A 21,922-nucleotide genomic window follows, 5' to 3' on the forward strand; every position below is an offset into this window, starting at 1 on the left:
TTAATTTCCACATATTTGTGAAATTTTCAGTTTTCCTCGTTACTGATGTCTGGTTTCATACCATTGTGGTCAGAAAAAATAGTTGAGATTTCATTCTTCTTAAATTTGTTAAGATTTGTTTTGTGGGCCAGGTGCGGTGGCTCACACCTGTAATCTCAGCACTTTGGGAGGCCAAGGCGGGCAGATCACGAGGTCATGAGATCACGACCATCCTGGCTAACACGGTGAAATCCCGTCTCTACTAAAAATACAGAAAAATTAGCGGAGTGTGGTGGTGGGCACCTGTAGTCCCAGCTACTCAGGGGGCTGAGGCAGGAGATGGCATGAACCCGGGAGGCAGAGCTTGCAGTGAGCCGAGATCTTGCCACTGCACTCCAGCCTGGGCGACAGAGCGAGACTCCATCTCAAAAAAAAAAAAAAAAAGACTTGTTTTGTGGCCTAATAAATGCTGTATTGCTGTATCCCGGAAAATGTTGCATGTGTGCTTGAGAGGAATGTGTACTCTGTTGCTCTGTATATGTCTGTTAGATCCACTTGGTTTACACTGTTACTCAAGTCTGCTATTTCATTATTGATTTTCTGTTTGGATGATCTCTTAGCTTTTCAAAGTGAAGTATTGAAGTTCCCTACTGTTATTGTATTGTACTATATCTCTTCCTGTAGAACTATTAATATTTGCTTTATATATTTAGATGCTCTAATTTTGGGTGCAAATATATTTACAACTGTTATATACTTGGATGAATTCACTCTTTATCATTACAGAGAGTCCATATTTGTCTTGTGACAGATTTTGAATATCTATTTTGTCTAATTTAAGTATTGCCACTCCTACTCTCTTTTGGTTATATTTGAATGGAATATCGTTTCTTTTTTTTTTTTTTGAGACATAGTCTTGCTCTCTCACCCAAGCTGGAGTGCAGTGGCACAATCTCGACTCACTGCAACCTCCGCCTCCCGGGTTCCAGCAATTATCCTGCCTCAGCCTCCCGAGTTGCTGGGACTACAGGCATGGGCCACCATGCCTGGCTAATTTTTTGTATTTTTAGTGAGAGATGGGGTTTCACCATGTTAGCCAGGATGGTCTCCATCTCCTGACCTCGTCATCTGCCCGCCTTGGCCTCCCAAAGTGCTGGGATTACAGGCATGAGCTACCACGCCCAGCTGGAATATCTTTTTTCATCACTTCACTTTTGAAGCTAAGGTGAGTCTCTTATAGGCAGCATATTGATGGATCTTGCATTTTTATGCATTCAGTTACTCTGTCTTTAGAATGGAGAATTTGGTCCAATTCCACATGAAGTAATTGATAGGTAAGAAGTTACTTTTGCCATTTTGTTCACTGTTCTATGATTTTTTTGGTAGTTTTATGATTTTTTGGTAGTTTGGTAGTTTTGTCTTGTTTTTTCCTTCCTCTCTTGCTTGTCTTTCTTTGGAATTTGTTTAATTTTTATACTGGTATACTTTCATTTTCATTTTTTGTCTTCACCTTCTGTGTAACTACTGGGGGTTTTTCTCTGTGCCTACTATGAGGTTACATAAAACATTTTATAATTTTTTGTTATGACAATTTAAGTTGATACAATAGCAATTGTGTGTGAAAACTCTACACTTTTAGTTACCCCACCCAGTTTATATTTTTATGTCACTGTTTACATATTTACATGTTGTAACCATTAACAAATTATTGTAGCAATAACTATTCTTAATATTTTTGTCTCTTAAACTATATATTAGTGATATAAGTGATTTATATCATCACAGTATTCTGATTTTGACTGTATACTTACCTTTACCAGTGAGTTTATACTTTCTTTCTTTTTTCTTTTTAGACATAGTCTTACCCTGTCACCCAGGCTGGAGCACAGTGGTACAATCGTGGCTCACTGAAGCCTTGACCTCCTGGGTTCAAGTGATCCACCCATCTCAGCCTACTGAATAACTGGGACTACAGGCACATACCACCACACCCAACTAATTGTTGTATTTTTTGTAGAGACTGGGTCATATACCATGTTGCCCAGACTGATCTCAAACTCCTGGGCTCAAGTGATCTGCCTGCCTCAGCCTCCCAAAGTGCTAGGATTACAGGCATAAGCCACCGTGCCCAGCTGAGTTACATACTCTCACATACTTTCATGTTACTAATTAGTGTTCTTGTATTTCAGCTTGAAGAACTCCCTTTAGTATTTCTGAAAAGGCAGGTCTAGTGTTGATGAGCCTCCTCAGCTTTTGTTCATCAAGATTATCTTTATATTTTCTTACTTTCTGAAGTGCAGCTTTGCTGGGAAAAGTATTCTTGGGATTTTTTTTAAGCACTGAATATATCATACCACTTTCTTGTTTGCAAGGTTTCTGCTGAGAAATCTTCTGATATTCTAATAGAGATTCCCTTGTATGGGACAAGTTGCTTATATCTTACTGCTTTCAAAATTATCTTTGTCTTTTACTCTTGACACTTTGACAAGATCATATTCTTTGGGTTGATCTTGCTTGTGATCCTTTGAGCTTCATGAATCTGGATGTCCTTATCTCTCCTATGATTTAGAACATTTTCAGCCAATATTTCTTTAAATTTTTCCCCCTTTTCTTTCCTCCTTCTGGGACAAATATAATGCTTATATTTGTTATCTTCATAGTGCCCCGTAAGTCTCATATGCTTTATTCACTCTTTTCTCTTTTTGTGTCTCTAACTGGCTAATTTCAAATGACCTGTCTTTGAGTTCACTAATTCTTTATTCTGCATGATTGAGTCTGCTGTCGAAGCTTTCTGTTGAATTTTTCAATTCTATCATTGTATTTGTCAGTTCCAGTATATCTTTTTAGTTCCTTTGATGGTTTCTATTTCATTGTTAAACTTCTTGGCTGGGCATGGTGGCTCACCCCTGTAATCCCAGCACTTTGGGAGGCTGAGGTTAGGCGGATCACATGAGGTCAGGAGTTCAAGACCATCCTGGCCAACATGGCAAAACTCTGTCTCTACTAAAAAAAAATTTAAAAAATACAAAAATTAGCCAGGTGTGGTGGTTTGTGCCTATAATCCCAGCTACTTGGCAGGCTGAGGCATGAGAATCACTTGAACGCAGGAGGCGAAGGTTGCAGTGAGCTGAGATCATGCCACTCACATCCAGCCTGGGCCACAGAGCAAGACTCTTGTCTCAAAAATAAATAAATAAATAAATAAATAAATAACTTCTCATTTTGTTCATGCATTATTTCCTGATTTCTTTTAGTTATCTATCTGTTCTCTTGCATCTCATTAAGCTTCTTTAAGATGATTATTTTGAACTCTTCATTAAGAAATTCATAGATCTCCACTTCTTTAGGGTCATTTATTGGAGCTTCATCGGTTGCTTTTGGTGGTGTCATGTTTGCATGATTCTTCATGATCCAGGTCGCTTTGTGTTAATGTCAGTGCCTGTGAAAAAGCAAGACTGGTTTTGGCAGGTAAGGAGTTTCTCTTATGTCCCCAGACTAATGGGAATACTTCTCATATCACATTTGGGCAAGGTTGAAATCAGGTCATATGACTTCTGTTGGTTTCACAATGGAGTCTGAAGTTGGTGGGCCTCTTTCCAGGAGTTCAGGTGAGTGTGGATCCTGTCAGGTCCCTGAGTAGCCTGGACTGCCTTCAGGACCTTGGTCAATAGAGCTGAGGCAAGGTGCCCCAGTTGGTTGCTCAAGTGGCAGGCCAGTTACAGATGTACAGACTGTTGTGGCTCCCACTGATTCCCTGAGAATGCTCCTGCCAGGTCACTGGGTGGGTTCCTGGGCAGGCAGGACTAGCCCCAGACCTCAGCTGAGTCATGCTTGAAATGAGACACAGGGCTGCTTCAGGGACCAAGGTCTTCAGGCTTGCCTCCAGTGGCACAGATAGGTGTTTCTCCCTTGGGTCCCTGGGTGGGCGGGACTGCTCCTAGACCATGGCTGAGAGGGGCTAGAGGCAGGTTATCAGGCCACTTTAAGATCCAAAGTCAGACTAAGTTTAGTGGTCCTGCCTCTAGACAGGTGTGTCTCTCTTGAGTTACTGGGAATGCAAGACCACTCAGACTGTGGCTAGGAGGGACTGGATCTGGGTTACAGGGCCATTTCAAGATCCACAGTCAGACAAAGGTCTGCAGGTCTGCCTCCAGAGACACAGATGGTCATGTTTCTCAGTGGATCCTGAGTGGGCAGAACTATGCCTGGACTGTGGCTGGGAAAAGCTGGAGCCAGGTTACAAGGCCCCTTTAAAATCTTCAGTCAGACTGAGGTCTGCAGGTCTGCCTCCAGAGGTATAGACAGATGTATCTCCCAGCAGGTCCCTGGATGGGTAGGACTTCTCCTGCACTGCAGTTGGGAGGGGCTAGAATTGGATTTGCAGGCTACTTTAAGATTTGCAGTGAGATCAAGATCTATAGGTATGCTTCCAGGGGTATAGATGGGAGTGGGGGCCATCCTCCTTTTGGTACAGAGAAAAGAAGGTTCTGGTCTTTGTATATAATAACTTTAAATGAAAGTACTGCTTCCTACTTATAAGTCAGGTAAGGAAGTGCTCAAATTTCTCTCTCCTTGTCTAGACCTTCCCATTTTCCATGGATCTTCATCTATCCAGGACCATTATCTGCCATGTCCATTATCAAACAGTGTTCAGACATGCATTGTTTGAACATGTGCAACAAATGTCTGCTAAGTCATACGAGGAAGACTCAAATAAGTCTGTGACCATAGAACTGCTCTATTTTGACTTTCAGTTGCCACTATCTGTAGCCTCAGTACACAATTGGATTTGTTTGTATATTATTTCTGCTGCAAAACATAATTCATTAAATAATGAGCCAGAGTGAAGAAAGTGAGTTCAGGGTGACTCTTGTTTATGCAGGAGTGAGAAATTAACAACAGGAGTCTTTAACACAGATTCCAGTGTTGGTACCTTAGGTCCCAAGTATTTTCTGCCGTAGGATTGGAAAACAAATCTGTATTCTCTTCCTTTCTTTTTTTCTTCTGCTCCTCCTCCAAAAAGAATGGCATGAAAGAATGGTTGCTGGCCAGGCGTGGTGGCTCACGCCTGTAATCCTAGCACTTTGGGAGGCCGAAGGCAGGCAGACCACGAGGTCAGGAGATCAAGACTGTTCTGGCTAACATGGTGAAACCCCGTCTCTACTAAAAAATAAAAAAAAAAAAAAAATTAGCCAAGCGTGGTGGCGGGTGCCTGTAGTCCCAGCTACTGGGGAGGCTGAGGCAGGAGAATGGCATGAACTCAGGAGGCGGAGCTTGCAGTGAGCTGAGATCGCTCCACTGCACTCCAGCCTGGGCAACAGAGCGAGACTCCGTCTCAAAAAAAAAAAGTGGTTGCTGAAAGAGTAGGCAAACATAGAGTCTTAATAAGGTCTGCTACCTTCAACTTTGTTACCTTTTGTTAAGTCAGCTTTGTTAGCTGACTTAATAAGGCAATCTAAGACAGAAAAAGAGAACCCCTATGAACTAGTGAATCAAATAAGAAAGAGATGAAAAAAATAAATTATACAACTGGTGGTTCGGAAAATGAGGTGTACTCAAATAATGGGCATGCTGCATGCCATCTAAAATGGTTTGTCTTTTTTTCCTAGTGATTCTTGGTCATTGGTAAGTTCCACTTTTACATTTAAACTACAAATCCTACCTAATTCCATCAATAATATCTTAATTACTACCTGTTTTAATAATAATGCCAGTATACATTTGTTTAGTACTCTGTCTACTTTCAGGGCCCTTCTGGATATATAATCAGTTTGAAACCTCATACTAACCCTTTGTAATCAGTCAGGCTTTATCATTTTACAGAGGAGGATATGGTCACACCCTGGTTAAGCAGGTGACTCAGCAAGTTGATAACATTTCTTGGAAGAGTAAGATAATGCTAGTAATCATAGTTTGATTTCAAAATTAATTTTTTGTTTAATCTGTGATGATTCAAAACAAAGAAACAATAACCAAAAATGCTAGAGATAGATACCATATCACAGGCTCTACAGAACATGTTACTTTTAAAATGTTATTCTTTATGATCAGCATTTAGTTTTTATTGCTGTTGGGCTATCATACTTCTTGTTAACCAATAATATAGGCATAAATTAGATCAAAAATAGCATTAGTATTTCTATTAGTTAAAATTTAGGCGTTCTTTTTGTTTTAAAGGCAAACTATAGGAAAAATTTGGACATTTCTAATCTAAAGGTAACCCCTCATAGAAATAAATGCAGGATGTATAATTATTCCCCACAAAGGTACAGGTAAGAACAAACCATATAGTTCAAAAGCTGCTGTAAAATAGCATTTAAAAATCAGAAGCCAAGAGCAAAGCATAGGAGAAAGCCTATCCATATCAGTTACAACAGTAAACATAAATAGGATGAAAAAATATGTAAGATATAAATTCTTGGCCAGGCGCAGTGGCTCACATCTGTAATCCCAGAACTTTGGGAGGCCGAGACAGGCAGATGATCTGAGGTCAGGAGTTCCAGACCAGCCTGGCCAACATGGTGAAACCCCCTCTCTACTAAAAATACAAAAATTAGTTCAGCATAGTGGCGCATGCCTGTAGTCTCAAATACTCAGGAGGCTGAAGCAAGATAATCACTTGAACCTGGGAGGCAGAGATTGCAGTAGCCGAGATCATGCCACTGCACTCCAACCTGAATGACAGAGAGAGACTCCATCTCAAAAAAACAAAAAACAAACAAAAAAAAACTCAAAATAGTAAAAAAAAAAAAAGTCTCAAAATAGTCAACAAACAAAATCCATCTATATGATATTAATAAGAGATTCACAAAGACTAAAAGTAAACAGGCTAAGTATAATCAAATACAAACAATGAAAACAAATGTCACAATATTAATGATAAAAATAAAGTATAAGGTGAAAGATATGAAATGGGTGTGTCATGTCAGGAGTATCAGGGTTTGATGGAAAGAGAACATACACCTATTGTAAGGTTAAATTCAGTTTCTTATTTTATCATCCAAGAACACATGATCTCATGGCAAGCAAAGTGGCCTTTCAGGGTTGGCACAAACATGGCATGTGACATCACCACTCCTTCAGCCTCAGAATCCCTAACAGGACCAGCCCCTGATTTCCTGATCTCTGCAAAGTAGAGGGTTGCTCTTTGCTACCCCATTAAATTCAGCGTTCACACCCCCATTCTGGAGGAATGCTGTTCATGCACTTCTGTTTAAAGGAACGCTGACCAAATTCAGCTTTAACATACCCACCTTCTTAGCTGGGAAGAGAAAGCAGAGCCAGAGCTGGGGGACCTTGGAAGAGTCTCTGCCTCCAGCTCTTTACTGTTCCAGAAAGCCCATTTTTTTTCTTCACAGGGATAGAAGAGTCATTTCTTGCCAGTCCATGGTGGAATTTATAGTGAAGATCTAATTGTCATGACCTTAACGTATGTGATAATGTTGACTCAAAGTTATAGTCAACTTACTAGAAATAAAAAGCAAAGACAAAAGTATAGTAAAAAGATATTTTCACTTGCTTCTTGACAGATATGAACACAGAAATAAGTACAGAGAGAATTTGGATAAAGTTGATGTAACAGATAATAAAGGACTCATTGAGCACTCACCATGGGCTGTTATTTTCTCTCTTTTACAGATGAGGAAACAAGGCACAGAGTGGGGAGGAACGTGCCTAAGCAGCCTGGTTAATAGACCATGCTTTTAACCACTTGCTCTCTTGCCTTTAAATAGGATGAGCATAACCAGAACGCTGTGATAGTCAAAGAGAGTAGTATTGATGTCAGGACAACAGGTGTAGAGTATTCCATCTCACCAGGCCATATTGTCCTCCCAGCTGTAAACACATTTTTTTGTCCAACAAACAGAACACATCTTTTCCATTGCTTGTGAAACATTTACAAAAATTGTTCATAGGAAAAACTTCTATAATTTTCATAAGGCAGAAATTGCATAGCCCTTACTCTCTGATCCCAGTGCAGTTATTATACAATGCATCATACCAGTCATCCAAAGGTGGAATACCATAGTCATCCTAATATCAAAAAAGTATTTGACAAAGGTCAACCTTCATTCTCAATTATTTAACAATTTCAAGTTAGTAAACTAAGAATGTTATTCATTGCCATTTGCCCTCATTCTCAATTATTTAACAATTTCGAGTAAACTAAGAATGTTATTCATTGCCATTAGGAGGCCTAATGGATATCATAGATCTCCCTAGCTGAGATCAAAACAAATAAAAATGTAGATGTAAAGCAGGTATAGATAAAAATAGACATACAATGTAGAATAGCATAAATATAAATATCTAATGTGCGTATACATGTAAGTAGTGTGGATAAAAGTGCCACCTTTGCCTGTAATACCAGCACTTTGGGAAGCCAAGGGGGCAGGAGGATTACTTGAGTCCAGGAATTCAGGACCAGCCTGGGCAACATAGTGAGGATCCCCATCTCTACAAAAAATAAAAAATTAGCCGGGCTTGGTGGTGCATGCCTGTAGTCCTAGCTCTTTTGGAGGCTGAGGTCAGATGATTGCTTGAGCCTGGAAGTTCAAGGCTGCAGTGAGCCATGATTATGGCACTGCACTCAGCTTGGGCAACAGAACGAGACCTTGTCTCAAAAAAAACAAGGGCCGGCGGACGCGGTGTCTCATGCCTGTAATCCCAGCACTTTGGGAGGCCGAGGTGGGTGGATCATTTGAGGTCAGGAGTTCAAGACCAGCCTGGCCAACATGGCAAAACCCCATCTCTACCAAAAATACAAACATTAGCCAGGCGTGGTGGCCGGCACCTGTTATCCCAGCTACTCACAAGGCTGAGGCAGGAGAATCGCTTGAACTCAGGAAGCAGAGGTTGCAGTGAGCCGAGATCACGCCACTGTGCTCCAGCCTGGGTGACAGCTCGAGACCCTGTCTCAAAAAAAAAAAAAAAAAAACACACACACACACACAAGTGCCACCTTTTTAGCAACCAAACTTGAATTTGAGATCATGGTTTAGATTTATGAGCCATGTGGACTTGTGTGTTAGTTTTCTGTGGCTTCTGTAGCATATCACAAATTTGGTGGCTTAAAACAACAGAAATTCATTCTCACAGTTTTGGAAGCCAGAAGTCTGAAATCAAGATGTCAGCACAACTGCACTCGCTCTGGAGGTTGTAGGGAAGAATGTATTGTTTGCCTCTTCCAACTTCTGGCTGCCAACATGCCTGGATGGGACCACATCACTCCTGTCTGCTTCTTTTTCACGTTATTGTCTTCTCTTCTGTTTGTCTTAAATCTCCCTCTGCCTTTGTCCTATAAGGATATTTGTCATTGGATTTAGGGCCCACCCAGATAATCCAGGATAATCTCCTTATCTCAAAATCCTTAATTTAATTACATCTGCAAAGACCCTTTTTCCAAATAAGGTAACATTCACAGGTTCTGGGGATTAAAATAAGGACATATCTTTGTGGGGGCTACCATTCAACCCATTACAACTTGTGATTAACATGAACCCTTAATTAGAAAGACCTTTAAAATCAGTGTCAATGTGGAGCCTTGTGGTGGAGAGATTGTGTGCTCTCTGCAAGGAGGTTAGTCCAAAGGAGGGAAGAGGCAGAACTGAGATGTTCATGCATAGGTCGTTCTAGATGCACTGACCAGAGAAGTTACTACTTCTCCCAGTAAGGTGAGTGAATGGACAGAAAGGCCCTCAGTGTTACAGAAACCTGGAAGGAGGAGAAAAAATAAATGTTTCTGCTAAATTGCTATAATTACATGTATATACACGTACAGGCTATTTGTCTTTATTTTAATTGACTATTAAAGTAAACATGTACAAGTTGTAAAAGAAGAAATAGCTTTAATTTTTTTTAAATTATACTTTAAGTTCTAGGGTACATGGGCACAACGTGCAGGTTTGTTACATATGTATACATGTGCCATGTTGGTGTGCTGTACCTGTTAACTCGTCATTTATATTAGGTATATCTCCTAATGCTTTCCCTCCCCCCTCCCCCCACCCCACAACAGGCCCTGGTGTATGATGTTCCCCTTCCTGTGTCCAAGTGTTCTCATTGTTCAATTCCCAGCTATGAGTGAGAACATGCGGTGTTTGGTTTTTTGTTCTTGCGATAGTTTGCTGAGAATGATGGTTTCCAGCTTCATCCATGTCCCTACAAAGGACATGAACTCATCCTTTTTTATGGCTGCATGGTATTCCATGGTGTATATGAGAAATAGTTGAAATTTTTATAAATAAAAAGGTAATTTTTAATGTATTTCCTTTTAACTGCTGTAAGGACCTTATTCAGAAAGGCATAATAGCCTATTTAATAACATATAAACAGTATATTTATTGTGGATTCAAAACATGAGAAAGTTATGGAGGAAAACAAGTGATAACCACAAAATTCAGGATAGTGATTACCTCTGAGGAGTTCCTGAGAGAGAAGGATGCGGGATTGAAGAGGAACTTCAGAGGTGATAGAATGTTTTTTTTCTAACAGGAGCAGTGAGTACACAGGTGTTCATGATACCAGTATTTTATCAGTAGAGGGCTTGTTAAAACAGTGCTGGATGGCACCCCGTGGGGTGTCTAATGTAGTAGATTGGGATGGGGCCCAACAATTTCCATTTCTAACAAGTTCACTGTTGATGCCAGTTCTGCTGGTGTGAGGACAGGACTTCTTATGCATTTTATAAATTATCTTTTATATCCATTCACTGTTGTTAAAAAAATTTTTTGTAGAAAGAGTATAAAAAGCAAAGTCTGTTTTTTTAACTCCCTGCTCTGGGATAAGGGTGGATTTGCTTTTACTTAGTAGTCACAGAGAGGTAGGTGCCTTCCCAGTAGAGCTAGCATAGTTAAAGGTACAGATTCCAGAGTTAAACTGCCTATGTTTGAATCTTGGCCCCACCATATTATAGGTTGTATGACCTCGGGCAAGGGTTTTAGTCTCTCTATCCCTCAGTTTTCTCATCGTTAACAATATCTATCTTGTTGGGTTGCAGTGAAGATCAAATGAGTCAATATAGGTAAAGCCCTTGGTATGGTACCTGGCCGATTAGGAAGGGCCAGTTGCTGCTATTAGGTTGGTGCAAAAGTAATTGTGGTTTTTGCCATAATACTCTAAGGTATCAGACTTATTCCCTGGGGGTTTCCATCCTGGAGGTGCTATTGAGTGTATTTATTCCTTGCTCTCCAGAGAGGACCTCCTGCCATAATCAGGTTCCCCATAAGAAGCCACTGGTCTTTCTTTGCCTCTAGCTGCTGCTTTTCTTGCTAATAGAGAAATAGGTACTTGGAGGAAGTAGTATTCTTTGAAACCTTCATATTTCACCTTGAAGTTTTTCTTATTGATTATTATAATGTATTAGGCTTTTAAACCAACTGAGAAGTGGAGACTCCTCCAAATGGTGTAATGAGAGGTTTTGATCTTTATTGCCCTGGATGTTAAGCTATAGTGAAGATTGTGATAATGTTTCTCCTGCCAACAGATGCTCTCTAAAATTCTCAAGGAGTTACTTACTTGATTTTTCAGTCAGTTCCAAAAAAGCTTTTATAGACAGAAGCAGAATTGTTTCTCCAGCTCTGTAACTCATGCTTTTAATTTCTGCGGAATTGGTGGTGTACCTTCAGTGAGAACTTGATCAGCAAACAGCCCATTCCTATTTCCTCTCTGAGTACAGTTTTTATACTAATCCTGGCTCACAGACAAATGTATGCATCTGGTTTCCTCATTGACATCTGGCTAACTTAAGTCTGCCAGGTTCATAAGGCATGAACCCTAATTCCCAGACTTTCTCCATCTGCCACTTCCTGTGTGGCCCTTTGTATACTTGAAATAAAATGAATTAAAGTAGTTCATTTCTACCTTTGAGTATTGATTAGACATTGATTAAGCATTGTCCTCTGATATGAAATTAAATACTTGAGGAAATCAAATCTGCTTTGTGAAAGTATAAACATTTTCATTTACTTATTCATGGTTGATTGCATGTGCCTAACATTGTAAAAATTAAGTGTATACTAACCCATTCTTTGGTTTCTGGGTGTATTAAAGTGTGAAGGAATGGTGAGATACCAGTGGCATTTTTACTCATTCTCATCAAGAGTGAGAAGAAGAGCTATCTTGAAATGGTTGGGGGTGGGGGGAAGAGTGAGAGGAAGAGGAATAGTAAGAGGGACTTTGGGCTGTACATCAGGGAGCTGAGACTCAGATCCCTATAGGGTCTAAATGGTATGTATTGTTTTCTCCTCTAGATTTCTAAAATTCCTTTTACCTTTAATATTCTGCAATTAAAGACATCATCCAAACCTTCAAGGAGTTAATGGTCTGATTGGGAAAACCAAACATAAATTAATTATAATACAAGATAAATAAATGATAAAATAGAAGTAAAAATAAAGTTTCACAAGAATTAAACACGAAGGAGCAGTTTATACCAGGCTCCTACTCATTCTTAGAATAGGAGGTTATACATAAGCAAGGGTTATAGATTGGAATGCCTCACACAGCAGTGGGGTAGGGTTGGAGACATTGTATAAACTCATGCCTAGCTTAATATAGGCACATACAGTTACATATTAAAAGATTTTAAATATGTTCACATACATACATTAGTATACATACAAATATTTCCTCACTTTGTCAGCTGAGAGGGCCTACAGGAAGCACTCCAATTGCAATGACCATACCTAGAGCCTAGATCTTGGTTTCTAATATCATTTTCAAACAAACAAAAAAATACAGGCCGGGGTGGTGTCTCATGCCTGTAATTCCAGCACTTTGGGAGGCCAAGGTGGGCAGATTACCTGAGGTCAGGAGTTCGAGAGCAGCCTGGCCAACATGGCAAAACCCCGTCTCCACTAAAAATAACAAAAATTAGCCGGCCAAGGTGGCAGGTGCCTGTAATCCCAGCTACTCAGGAGGCTGAGGCAGGAGAATCGCTTGTACCTGGGAGGCAGAAATTGCAGTGAGCCAAGATCGTGCCATTGCACTCCAGCCTGGGCAACAAGAGCAAAAGTCTGCTTTGAAACAAAAAAAAAAAAAAGAAAGAAAAAAAACCAGGGCTCTTTAGATAAATGGCTGAGTCTAGGACTAGAGTAGGTAATATACAAAATGATCCTGAAGCAGAAAGTGCCAGAAAGCAAAGACATGCTCAAAATTTTTTTAAAATTTTAGAAGATCCACAGTGGTGGGAGTATATCAAAGGAACATTGAAGCTAACTGAAAGAACTTCCAATGGCCAAAATTGGAACAATTTTAGCCAAAAAAAAAAAAGTTACTGAATTTTAACCCAAAGTATAAGATAAATATCCGTGAGTTGATACTTGAATAAATATGATGGAATAAATAACTGAGGGAGAAGAAACAAATCTCTTATGTAGAAGAATTTCAAGTAACGTATGCATATAGATACTCAGCCATCAAGGAGGTGGAGCATAATTCCCCACTCCTTAAGTGTGAGATGTGCGTACTGAACTCTTTCTAAAAATAACAATGTGGAAAGGGGGCTGAGGGAAACTACAGTGAAGAAACCTGACAAGCACTACTTCAACCAGATAATCAGGGATAACATCAGCAGGCAAAAGTCATGCTGATAGTATGTACCCTTGATATGATATGATGAGACTGAGACTTCATCTCTGTGATCTTCCTCCTCAAAACACATTACTTCTAATCATGGAAAAAATATGGGAACAATCCCACCTGAAAACTCTACAAAATACCTGATTATTACTTCTCAAAACTGTCAATTTTACCTAAAATGAGAAAAGTTTGAGAAACTGTCACAGTCAAGAGAAACCTAACGAGACATGATACCTCAATGTAATATGGTACCTGGATGAGATCTTGGAGCAGAAAAAAGATACTAGGTTAAAACTAAGAAAATCTGAAAAATTTGAATAAAGTATGGACTTAACTAATAGTAAATTATCAGTATTGGTTCATTAATTATGACAAATGTACAATAAAATAAAGTGTTAATAATAGGAGAAATTGGGTGCAGGATATGTGGGACCTCTCTATAATATCTTTGCAATTTTTCTGTGACTCTAAAATTCTTATAAAGAGTGCAAATAAATAGGAAAAGAATGTCCAACATTCTTTCTGTACTAAGGAGCAGAGGTCCCTTTCTTAAATATAATGGTCAAGTAGGCATTTAATAAGTAGCCTGCAAGCACCAAGTAATGAACTCTGTAAAGATCAAACAAAATGTACGTTCAGAGTTTCCATTGTATATTTTGAGGCTTTGCTTTCTTGTTCTAAGATAGTAAAGCTTCTAAGTGTCAGCTAACTGCATGTTCTCTCTCTCAGGGTAACTGATATGGCTTGGCTCTGTGTCCCCACCCAAATCTCATCTTGTAGCTCCCATAATTCCCATGTGTTGTGGGAGGGACCTGGTGGGAGATAATTGAATCATGGGGGCGGGTCTTTCCCATGCTGTTCTCATGATAGTGAATGGGTCTCATGAGATCTGATGGTTTTAAAAAAAGGGAACTTCTCTGCACAAGCCCTTTTTTTTGCTTGCTGCATACATGCATACATGTAAGATGTGATTTGCTCCTCCTTGCCTTCCACCATGATTGTGAGGCCTCCCCAGCCATGTGTAACTGTGAGTCCAGTTAAACCTCTTTGTTTTGTATATTGCCTAGTTTTGGGTATGTCTTTGTCAGCAGTGTGAAAATGGAGTAATACAATAAATTGGTACCAGTAGAGTCGGGCACTGCTGAAAAGATACCTAAAAATGTGGAAGCAACTTTGAAACTGGGTAACAGGCAGAGGAACAGTTTGGAGGGCTCAGAAGAAGACAGGAAAATGCGGGAAAGTTTGAAACTTCCTGTAGACTTGTTGAATGGCTGTGCTCAAAATGCTGATAGTGATATGGACAATAAGGTCCAGGCTGAGTTGGTATCAGATGGAAATGAGGACCTTGTTGGTAACTGGAGCAAAGATGACTTTTGTTATGTTTTAGCAAAGAGACCAGCAGCCTTTTGCCCCTGTCATAGAGATTTGTGGAACATTGAACTTGAGAGAGATAATTTAGGGTATCTGGTGGAGGAAATTTCTAAGCAGCAAAGCATTCAAGATGTGACTTGGGTGCTGTTAAAGGCATTCAGTTTTATAAGGGAAGCAGAGCACAAAAGCTTGGAAAATTCGCAGCCTAACAATGCAATAGAAAAGAAAATTACATTCTCTGAGGAGAAATTCAAGCTGGCTGCATAAATTTGCATAAGTAATGAGGAGCTGAATGTTAATCCCCAAGACAATGGGGAAAATGTCTCCAGGGCATGTCAGAGATCTTCATGGCAGCCCCTCCCATCACAGGCCTAGAGGCCTAGGAGGAAAAAGTGGTTTCGTGGGCCAGGTCCAGGGTTCCCCACACTGTGTGCAGCCTAGGGCACCTAGCCTTGGTGCCCTGCATCTCAGCTGCTCCAGCTGTGGCTGAAAGGGGCCAATGTAAACCTTGGGCCGTGGCTTCAAAGGATGCAAGCCTCAAGCCTTGGCAGCTTCCACATGGTGTTGAGCCTGCCAGCGCACAGAAGTCAAGAATTGGGGTTTGGGAACCTCCACCTGGATTTCAGAGGATGTATGGAAATGCCTGGATGCCCAGGCAGAAGTTTGCTTCAGGGGCAGGGCTCTCATGGAGAACCTCTGCTAGGGCAGTGCAGAAGGGAAATGTAGGTTCAGAGCCCCCACACAGAGTCCCTACTGAGGCACTGCCTAGTGGAGCTGTGAGAAGAGGGCCACCATCCTCCAGACCCCAGAATGGTAGATCCACAGACAGCTTGCACCCTGCTCCTGGAAAAGCCACAGATGCTCAACACCAGCCTGTGAAAGCAGCCAGGAGAGGGGCTATACCCTGCAAAGCCACAGTGGGTGGAGCTGCCCAAGACTATGGGAACCTACCTCTTGCATCAGCGTGACCTGGATGTGAGACATGAAGTCAAAGGAGATCATTTTGGAGCTGTAAGATTTGACTGCCTCACTGGATTTCAGACTTGCATGGGGCCTGTAGCCCCTTTGTTTTGGCCAAAGTCTACCATTTGGAATGGCTGTATTTACCCAAAGCCTGTACCCCCATTATATCTAGGAAGTGACTAACTTGCTTGTGATTTTACAGACTCATAGGTGGAAGGGACTTGCTTTGGCAGAGATGAGACCTTGGGCTGTGGACTTTTGAGTTAATGCTAAAATGAGTTGAGACTTTGGGGGACTGTTGGGATGGCATGGGTGGTTTTGAAATGTGAAGATATGAGATTTTGGAGGAGCCAAGGGTAGAATGATATGGTTTGGCTCTGTGTCCCCACCCAAATCTCATCTTGTAGCTCTCATAATTCCCACATATTGTGGGAGGGACCCGGTGGGAGATGATTGAATCATGGGGGCAGGTCTTTCTTGTGCTGTTCTCATGAATGGGTCTCTTGAGATCTGATGGTTTTAAAAAACGGGAGTTTCTCTGCACAAGCTTTTTTTTTTTTTTTTTTTGCCTGCTGCCATACTTGTAAGATATGACTTGCTCCTTCTTGCCTTCCACCGTGATTGTGAGGCCTCCCCAGCCACATGAAACTGTGAGTCCAATTAACCTCTTTCTTTTGTAAATTGCCCAGTTTGGGGTATGTCTTTATCAGCAGTGTGAAAACAGACTAATACAGTGACTATGGTACAGAATGATTTCTCAAGATGTGCCTTCATGTAATATGATTGTGGTAGATAACGTGGGCAGAGTGGGCATTAGTGACTTATAAGCTATTAGAGGAAAGAGCTAGACTCAGGATGAACAACGGAGCCTTCCTTTCTTTATCTGTTCCCTAGAGAAATGCTCAACATAGTCTTTTGTGCTCCTTTTTTCTCATTTGTATTTTAAACTATTTTCACTTTTTAAAATTTCTTCATGAGATGCCCTCATATCTTGGAGGCACATTAGTACGAAGTGGAAAGCAGAGAATTAATGTTATTCTAAGAGTAAATGAAGTTTATTAAATATGCTAAACATTGTAAGGCTAAAACAATATTACTTATTTAAGTAGGTTTCACTGAAGACAGCATAGGTTAAACATAGTAATTGTTTTTTAAGATGATGTAGGTTTTATTTTATTTCTACAAATGTATGAGGTACATGAGGGATTTCGTTACATGTATATAATGCATAGTGGTCAAGTCAGGGTATTTAGGGTGTCCACCACGCAAGTACAATACATTTTTGTTAAATATAGTGAATCTACTCAACTCTCAAACATTGAATTTTATCCTCCTTACTGTGTGTTTGTATCCTTTAATCCAGTTGTCTTCATCAGCTTCCTCCCTGCTACTCACTCTTCCCAGCTTCTGTTATTTATCTTTCCATTCACTACATGCATGTGATCAAATGTTTTAGTTCCCACATGTAAGTGAGAATGTCTTTTCATGCCTCATTTCATTTAAAACAATGACCTCTGGTTCCATCCATGTTACTAAAGGTAACATGGTTTTATTCTTTTCAATGGCTGAATAGTATTTTGTGTCGGGGGATGTGGGGGTGTGGGTGTGTGTATCACATTTTCTTTTCTTATCTGTTCATTCATTGAACACTTAGATTGATTCCATATCTTTGCTATTGTGAATAGTGCTGCAATAAACATGTGAGTTCAGATATCCCTTTGACATATTGATTTCTTTTTCTCTGGGTAGACAGTCAGTAGTGGGATTGCTGGATCAAATGGTAATTCTGTTTTTAGTTTTTTGAGAAATCTCCATACTGTTTTCCATAGTGGCTGTACTAGTTTACATTCCCACCAGTAGTGTATAAGAGTTCCCTTTTCTCTGCATCCATGCAAACATCTGTTATTTTTTTCTTTTTCTGACTGGGATAAGATGATAGCTCATTGTGGTTTTGATTTACATTTGCCTGATGATTAGTGATGTTGAACATTTTTGCATTTATCTGTTGACCATTTGTATGTCTTCTTTTGAGAAATTCTGTTCAGATTCTTTGCCCACTATTTTTTTTTTATTTCAATAGCTTTTGGGGTACAGGTGGTTTTGGGTTACATGGATGAATTGTATAGTGGTGAAGTCAGATTTTTGTGCACCCATCACCCGAGTAGTGTACATTGTATCCAATGTGTAGATTTTTTATTCCTCATCTCTCTCCCACCCTCCCCTTTCTGAGTCTCTAAAGTTCATTATATCACTCCTTATGCCTTTGCTTACCAAAGCTTAGGTCCCACTTATAAGTAAGAACATACAGTATTTGGTTTCTCATTCCTGAGTTACTTCACTTACAATAAGGGCTTTAGCTCTATCCAAGTTTCTGCAAAAGACATTATTTCATTTCTTTTTTAGCCAAGTAGTATTCCATGGTGTATATATACTACATTTTCTTTACCCACTCATTGGTTTATGGGCACTTAGGTTGGTTCCATATCTTTGCAGTTGTTAATTGTACTGCAATAAACTTACATATGCAAGTGTCTTTTTGGTATATTGACTTCTTTTCCTCTGGGTAAATACCCAGTTGTGGAATTTTTTGATGAAATGGTAGATCTACTTTTAGTTCTTTAAGAAATCCCCATACTGTTTTCCATAGAAGTTGTACTAATCCCACCAGCAGTGTATAAGCATTCCCTTTTCACCACATTCCAGAAAGGCTTTCAATAGGTCCACTCACACCGAGCTCACATGGGAGAAGCCTCAAATGTGTCTGTAGTGGTGATGAGGGGGAAAAGATATATCCTTCTCAGGACGCTTCACAAGCGCAAAGGCTTTCTGACTGTTGGGGTACAGCCACAGACTTTCCCCACTAAGCCCAGCACTTCAACTATGCCTCTGCTGAAGGAAACTTCCCACCATTGGAAAGATCTGAGACTCAAGGCCTGCCATCTGGATTCTTTTGTCCCACAGGGTATTCCCTTGATGTGATGTACTCCCCCTTTCCATAAGAGTAAGAGTCCCTTAGAGCTAGATTGCTGTGAATGCTACTGCTCTCTGGGTCTAGCTGCCCAGTGGGACTGCCATACTGCAGGCTGGTGCTGGTGAACCTATGCAAGAGATCCAGTGATATGACCTGTCCTCAAGTCTCCCACCAGCAGCTATCAGCACCAGCTCTGATAGGGGTGGCAGAGGAGTGATGTAAACTCTGTGAGATTCCTTGGTTATAAATAGCCTTAGTGTGTTGACTTTCTCAGATGCCAGTTATAGTAGTAATGAACTGGTCACTGGGACAGACTCAGGACCTCCTGGTTAGCCGGGGTGGTGCAGGCAATGGTAATACCTGAGGTAACATACAAGTTTTCTCCTTTCTGGACACAGTGTTATTCTATCTGCAGATTCTGCAATGAACTGTGTCATTTGGCCTCCCAGCTAGGAGATGGCACTAGGAAAAGAGCACCACCTGCTGTAGTAGCAGTGGGATTTGTGCTTGCCTTATGTTACCCAGGAGAGGTATTCTGGTTTCTCAGGTGAGGGGTGAGGCTAGAGAGCTCCCAAAAGTTTCTGTTCTTTGTGTTATGCTACCAGGGTGGGTGGAGGGACAAAGCCAGGTGGGAGCTGGGTCAGGTAGGTCCACACCCTGGCTCTCCACTTGCAGGGCAAGCACTGGCCTCTATGGAGATCACAGAGATCTCTGTGGAGATCACCACCTCTGCAGGTGGTTTACTGGCCACTGAGGTAATGTTCCATGGAGGAAGGTCACTGCCTCTGCTGCACAGAAGAGATTTCGGAAGGAATGGAAAGTAGTAGGTGAGAGTAAGCCCCACCCAGCTCTTACATAGTTGGCAAGGCAGGTCTCATACCTGCAGTGATCCATTAGTAGCAGCTAGCTAAGTTCCAGGCTGTCTACACTCAGAACTCGAAACTGTCCCAGGCTATAAATCTTCCCTGTGGAGACAGCAATCAGGGCTTTCACGCTACACCCCTCCCAGTCCACTCCCACAAAGCTGGGGCACCTGGCTCCTGCACTCCTAGCTACAGCACACTTCCCGCCTGTCCCCTGGTTCTGGGCAAGGGAGTTTATCTCCACTCAAGATTATATCACAAATTTCAGTTGGGAGCTTCTGTTAACCTGAGACTACTGCCTGAGTTAGCTAGCAGACTTCCGTGAGGTCCCCTGTGACGTAGAATGAGGAATGGCTTCCCTTGGTCCAAGCTGAAGACTGGGAATGCTCACAAGGCTCTTTCCCTGCTGCTCCTACTTTTATATTCGTCACCACTCCGTAAATCAGTTCCAGCACTGGGTAGGATTAAGGCCTTCCCCTGTGGGCTGAATTGCCAGGTTCCCAGTGGTGGTGTATATCCTAGAGGCAGTGTCTCCCCTTCTCACACTCTGAGGATTTGGTGTCAATTATACCTGCCTCATGATATAATTTGCAGCTTGCCACTTCTTTTAAAGGGTCTGTGGTTTCTTTAAGCTTTCCTGTTCAGTTCTTGTGTTGCTTCTTGAAAAAAAGTTCAGTGTGAATCTCTATGCACTATTGTCTTTCCAAGTGGAAGAGACGTGCTGACACTACCTCCAATCTGCCATCTTGGGAGGAAAAAACACACAAAAACTCTTTGCCCACTTTTATGGGATTATTAGCTTGTTTTTCCTGCTGAGTTGTTTGAGTTCCTTGTCTACTCTGAATATTAGTCCCTTGTTGTATAAGTAGTTTGGAAATATTAGTCCCTTGTTGTACAAGTAGTTTGGAAATATTTTTCCCATTCAACAGGTTGTCTGTTTACTCAGGTTTGCTTCTGGTTTGCTAGAGTAAACAGACAACCTCTTGAAAGGGAAAAATATTTCCAAACTACTTACACAACATCCCCTTTTGCTGTGCAGAAGCTTTTTAGTTTAATATACTACCAGTTATCTATTTTTGTTTTTGTTGCCTTTTGAGATCTTAAACTTTTTGCCTAGACCAATTTCCAGCAGCATTTTCCCTAGGTTTTCAAACTTCTATTATGTTTATAGTTTCAGGTCTTATGTTTAAGTCTTTAATCCATTATGTGTTGATTTTTTTGGTATATGGTGAGAAATAGGTGTCCTGTTGCATTCTTCTGCTTGTTCCAAAAAAAATTGAAGAGGACGGAACTCTCTCTAATTCATCCTACAAGATCATCACCACCCTGATAGCAATACCAGGCAATAACTCCACAAGAAAAAAAGAAAACTAACAGGTCAATATCCCTGATAAACACAGATGCCAATGCCTCACAATTCAGCCCACAGAGGAAGGCCTTAACCCCACCCAGCACTGGAACTATTTAGGGAGTGGTGAAGAATAAAAAAGTAGGAGCAGCAGAGAAAGAACTTTGTGAGCATTCCCAGTCTTCAGCTTGAATCAAGGGAAACCATTCCTCATTCTACATCACAGGAGACCTCACGGAAGTCTGCTAGCTAACTCAGGCAGCAGTCACAGGTTGAGAGAAGCTCCCATCTGAAATTTGTGATATAATCTTGAGTGGGGATGAATTCTCTTGGCCAGAACCAGGGGCAAATGGGAAGTGTGCAGTAGCTACAAGTGCAGGAGTCAGGTGCCCAGCCTTGTGGTCATTCCCAGTCTCCAGCTTGAACCAAGGGAAGCCATTCCTGATTCTCCATCACAGGGGACTTCACAGAAGTCTACTAGCTAACTCGGGCTAACTCATCCAACTTGGATGCCGGTTAGTTTTTTTCTCTTGCCTGATTTCTCTGGCTAGGACTTTCAGTACAATATTGAATAGGAATGGTGAAGGTGGATAACTTTGTCTTGTTCCAGTTCTTAGAGGATAGGCTTTCAGATATTTCCCTATTCAGTGTGATGGTAGTTATGGGTTTGTTGTATGTGGCCTTTATTATTTTCAGATATGCTCTTTCTATGCCTAGTTTTGTGAGAGTTTTTATCATGAAGGGATGTTGAATTTTATCAAATTTTCTTCTACATTTGTCTAGATAATAATATGATTTTTGTCCTTTATTCTGTTGATTTGATGTATCATGTTTATTGATTTACTT

At 40.8% G+C, this 21,922-nt stretch overlaps 1 protein-coding gene across 24 annotated transcripts in view; it reads left to right on the forward strand.

The window, feature by feature from the left end:
* DOCK3 (dedicator of cytokinesis 3) overlaps positions 1–21,922 on the forward strand; it is a 709,272-nt gene that overhangs the window by 496,383 nt on the left and 190,967 nt on the right. The window contains exon 1 of one of the 24 annotated variants that reach the window (XM_047447606.1): positions 3,219–3,447. The exons of the other annotated variants lie outside the window; for them this stretch is intronic. The gene's annotated coding sequence lies outside the window, so the exon portion shown is untranslated. Of the gene's footprint in view, positions 1–3,218; positions 3,448–21,922 lie in introns of those variants that run through there. 24 annotated transcript variants of the gene reach the window in all.

Source organism: Homo sapiens, chromosome 3, assembly GCF_000001405.40.
Source record: "Homo sapiens chromosome 3, GRCh38.p14 Primary Assembly".
In the NCBI taxonomy this organism is placed as follows: Eukaryota; Metazoa; Chordata; class Mammalia; order Primates; family Hominidae; genus Homo; species Homo sapiens.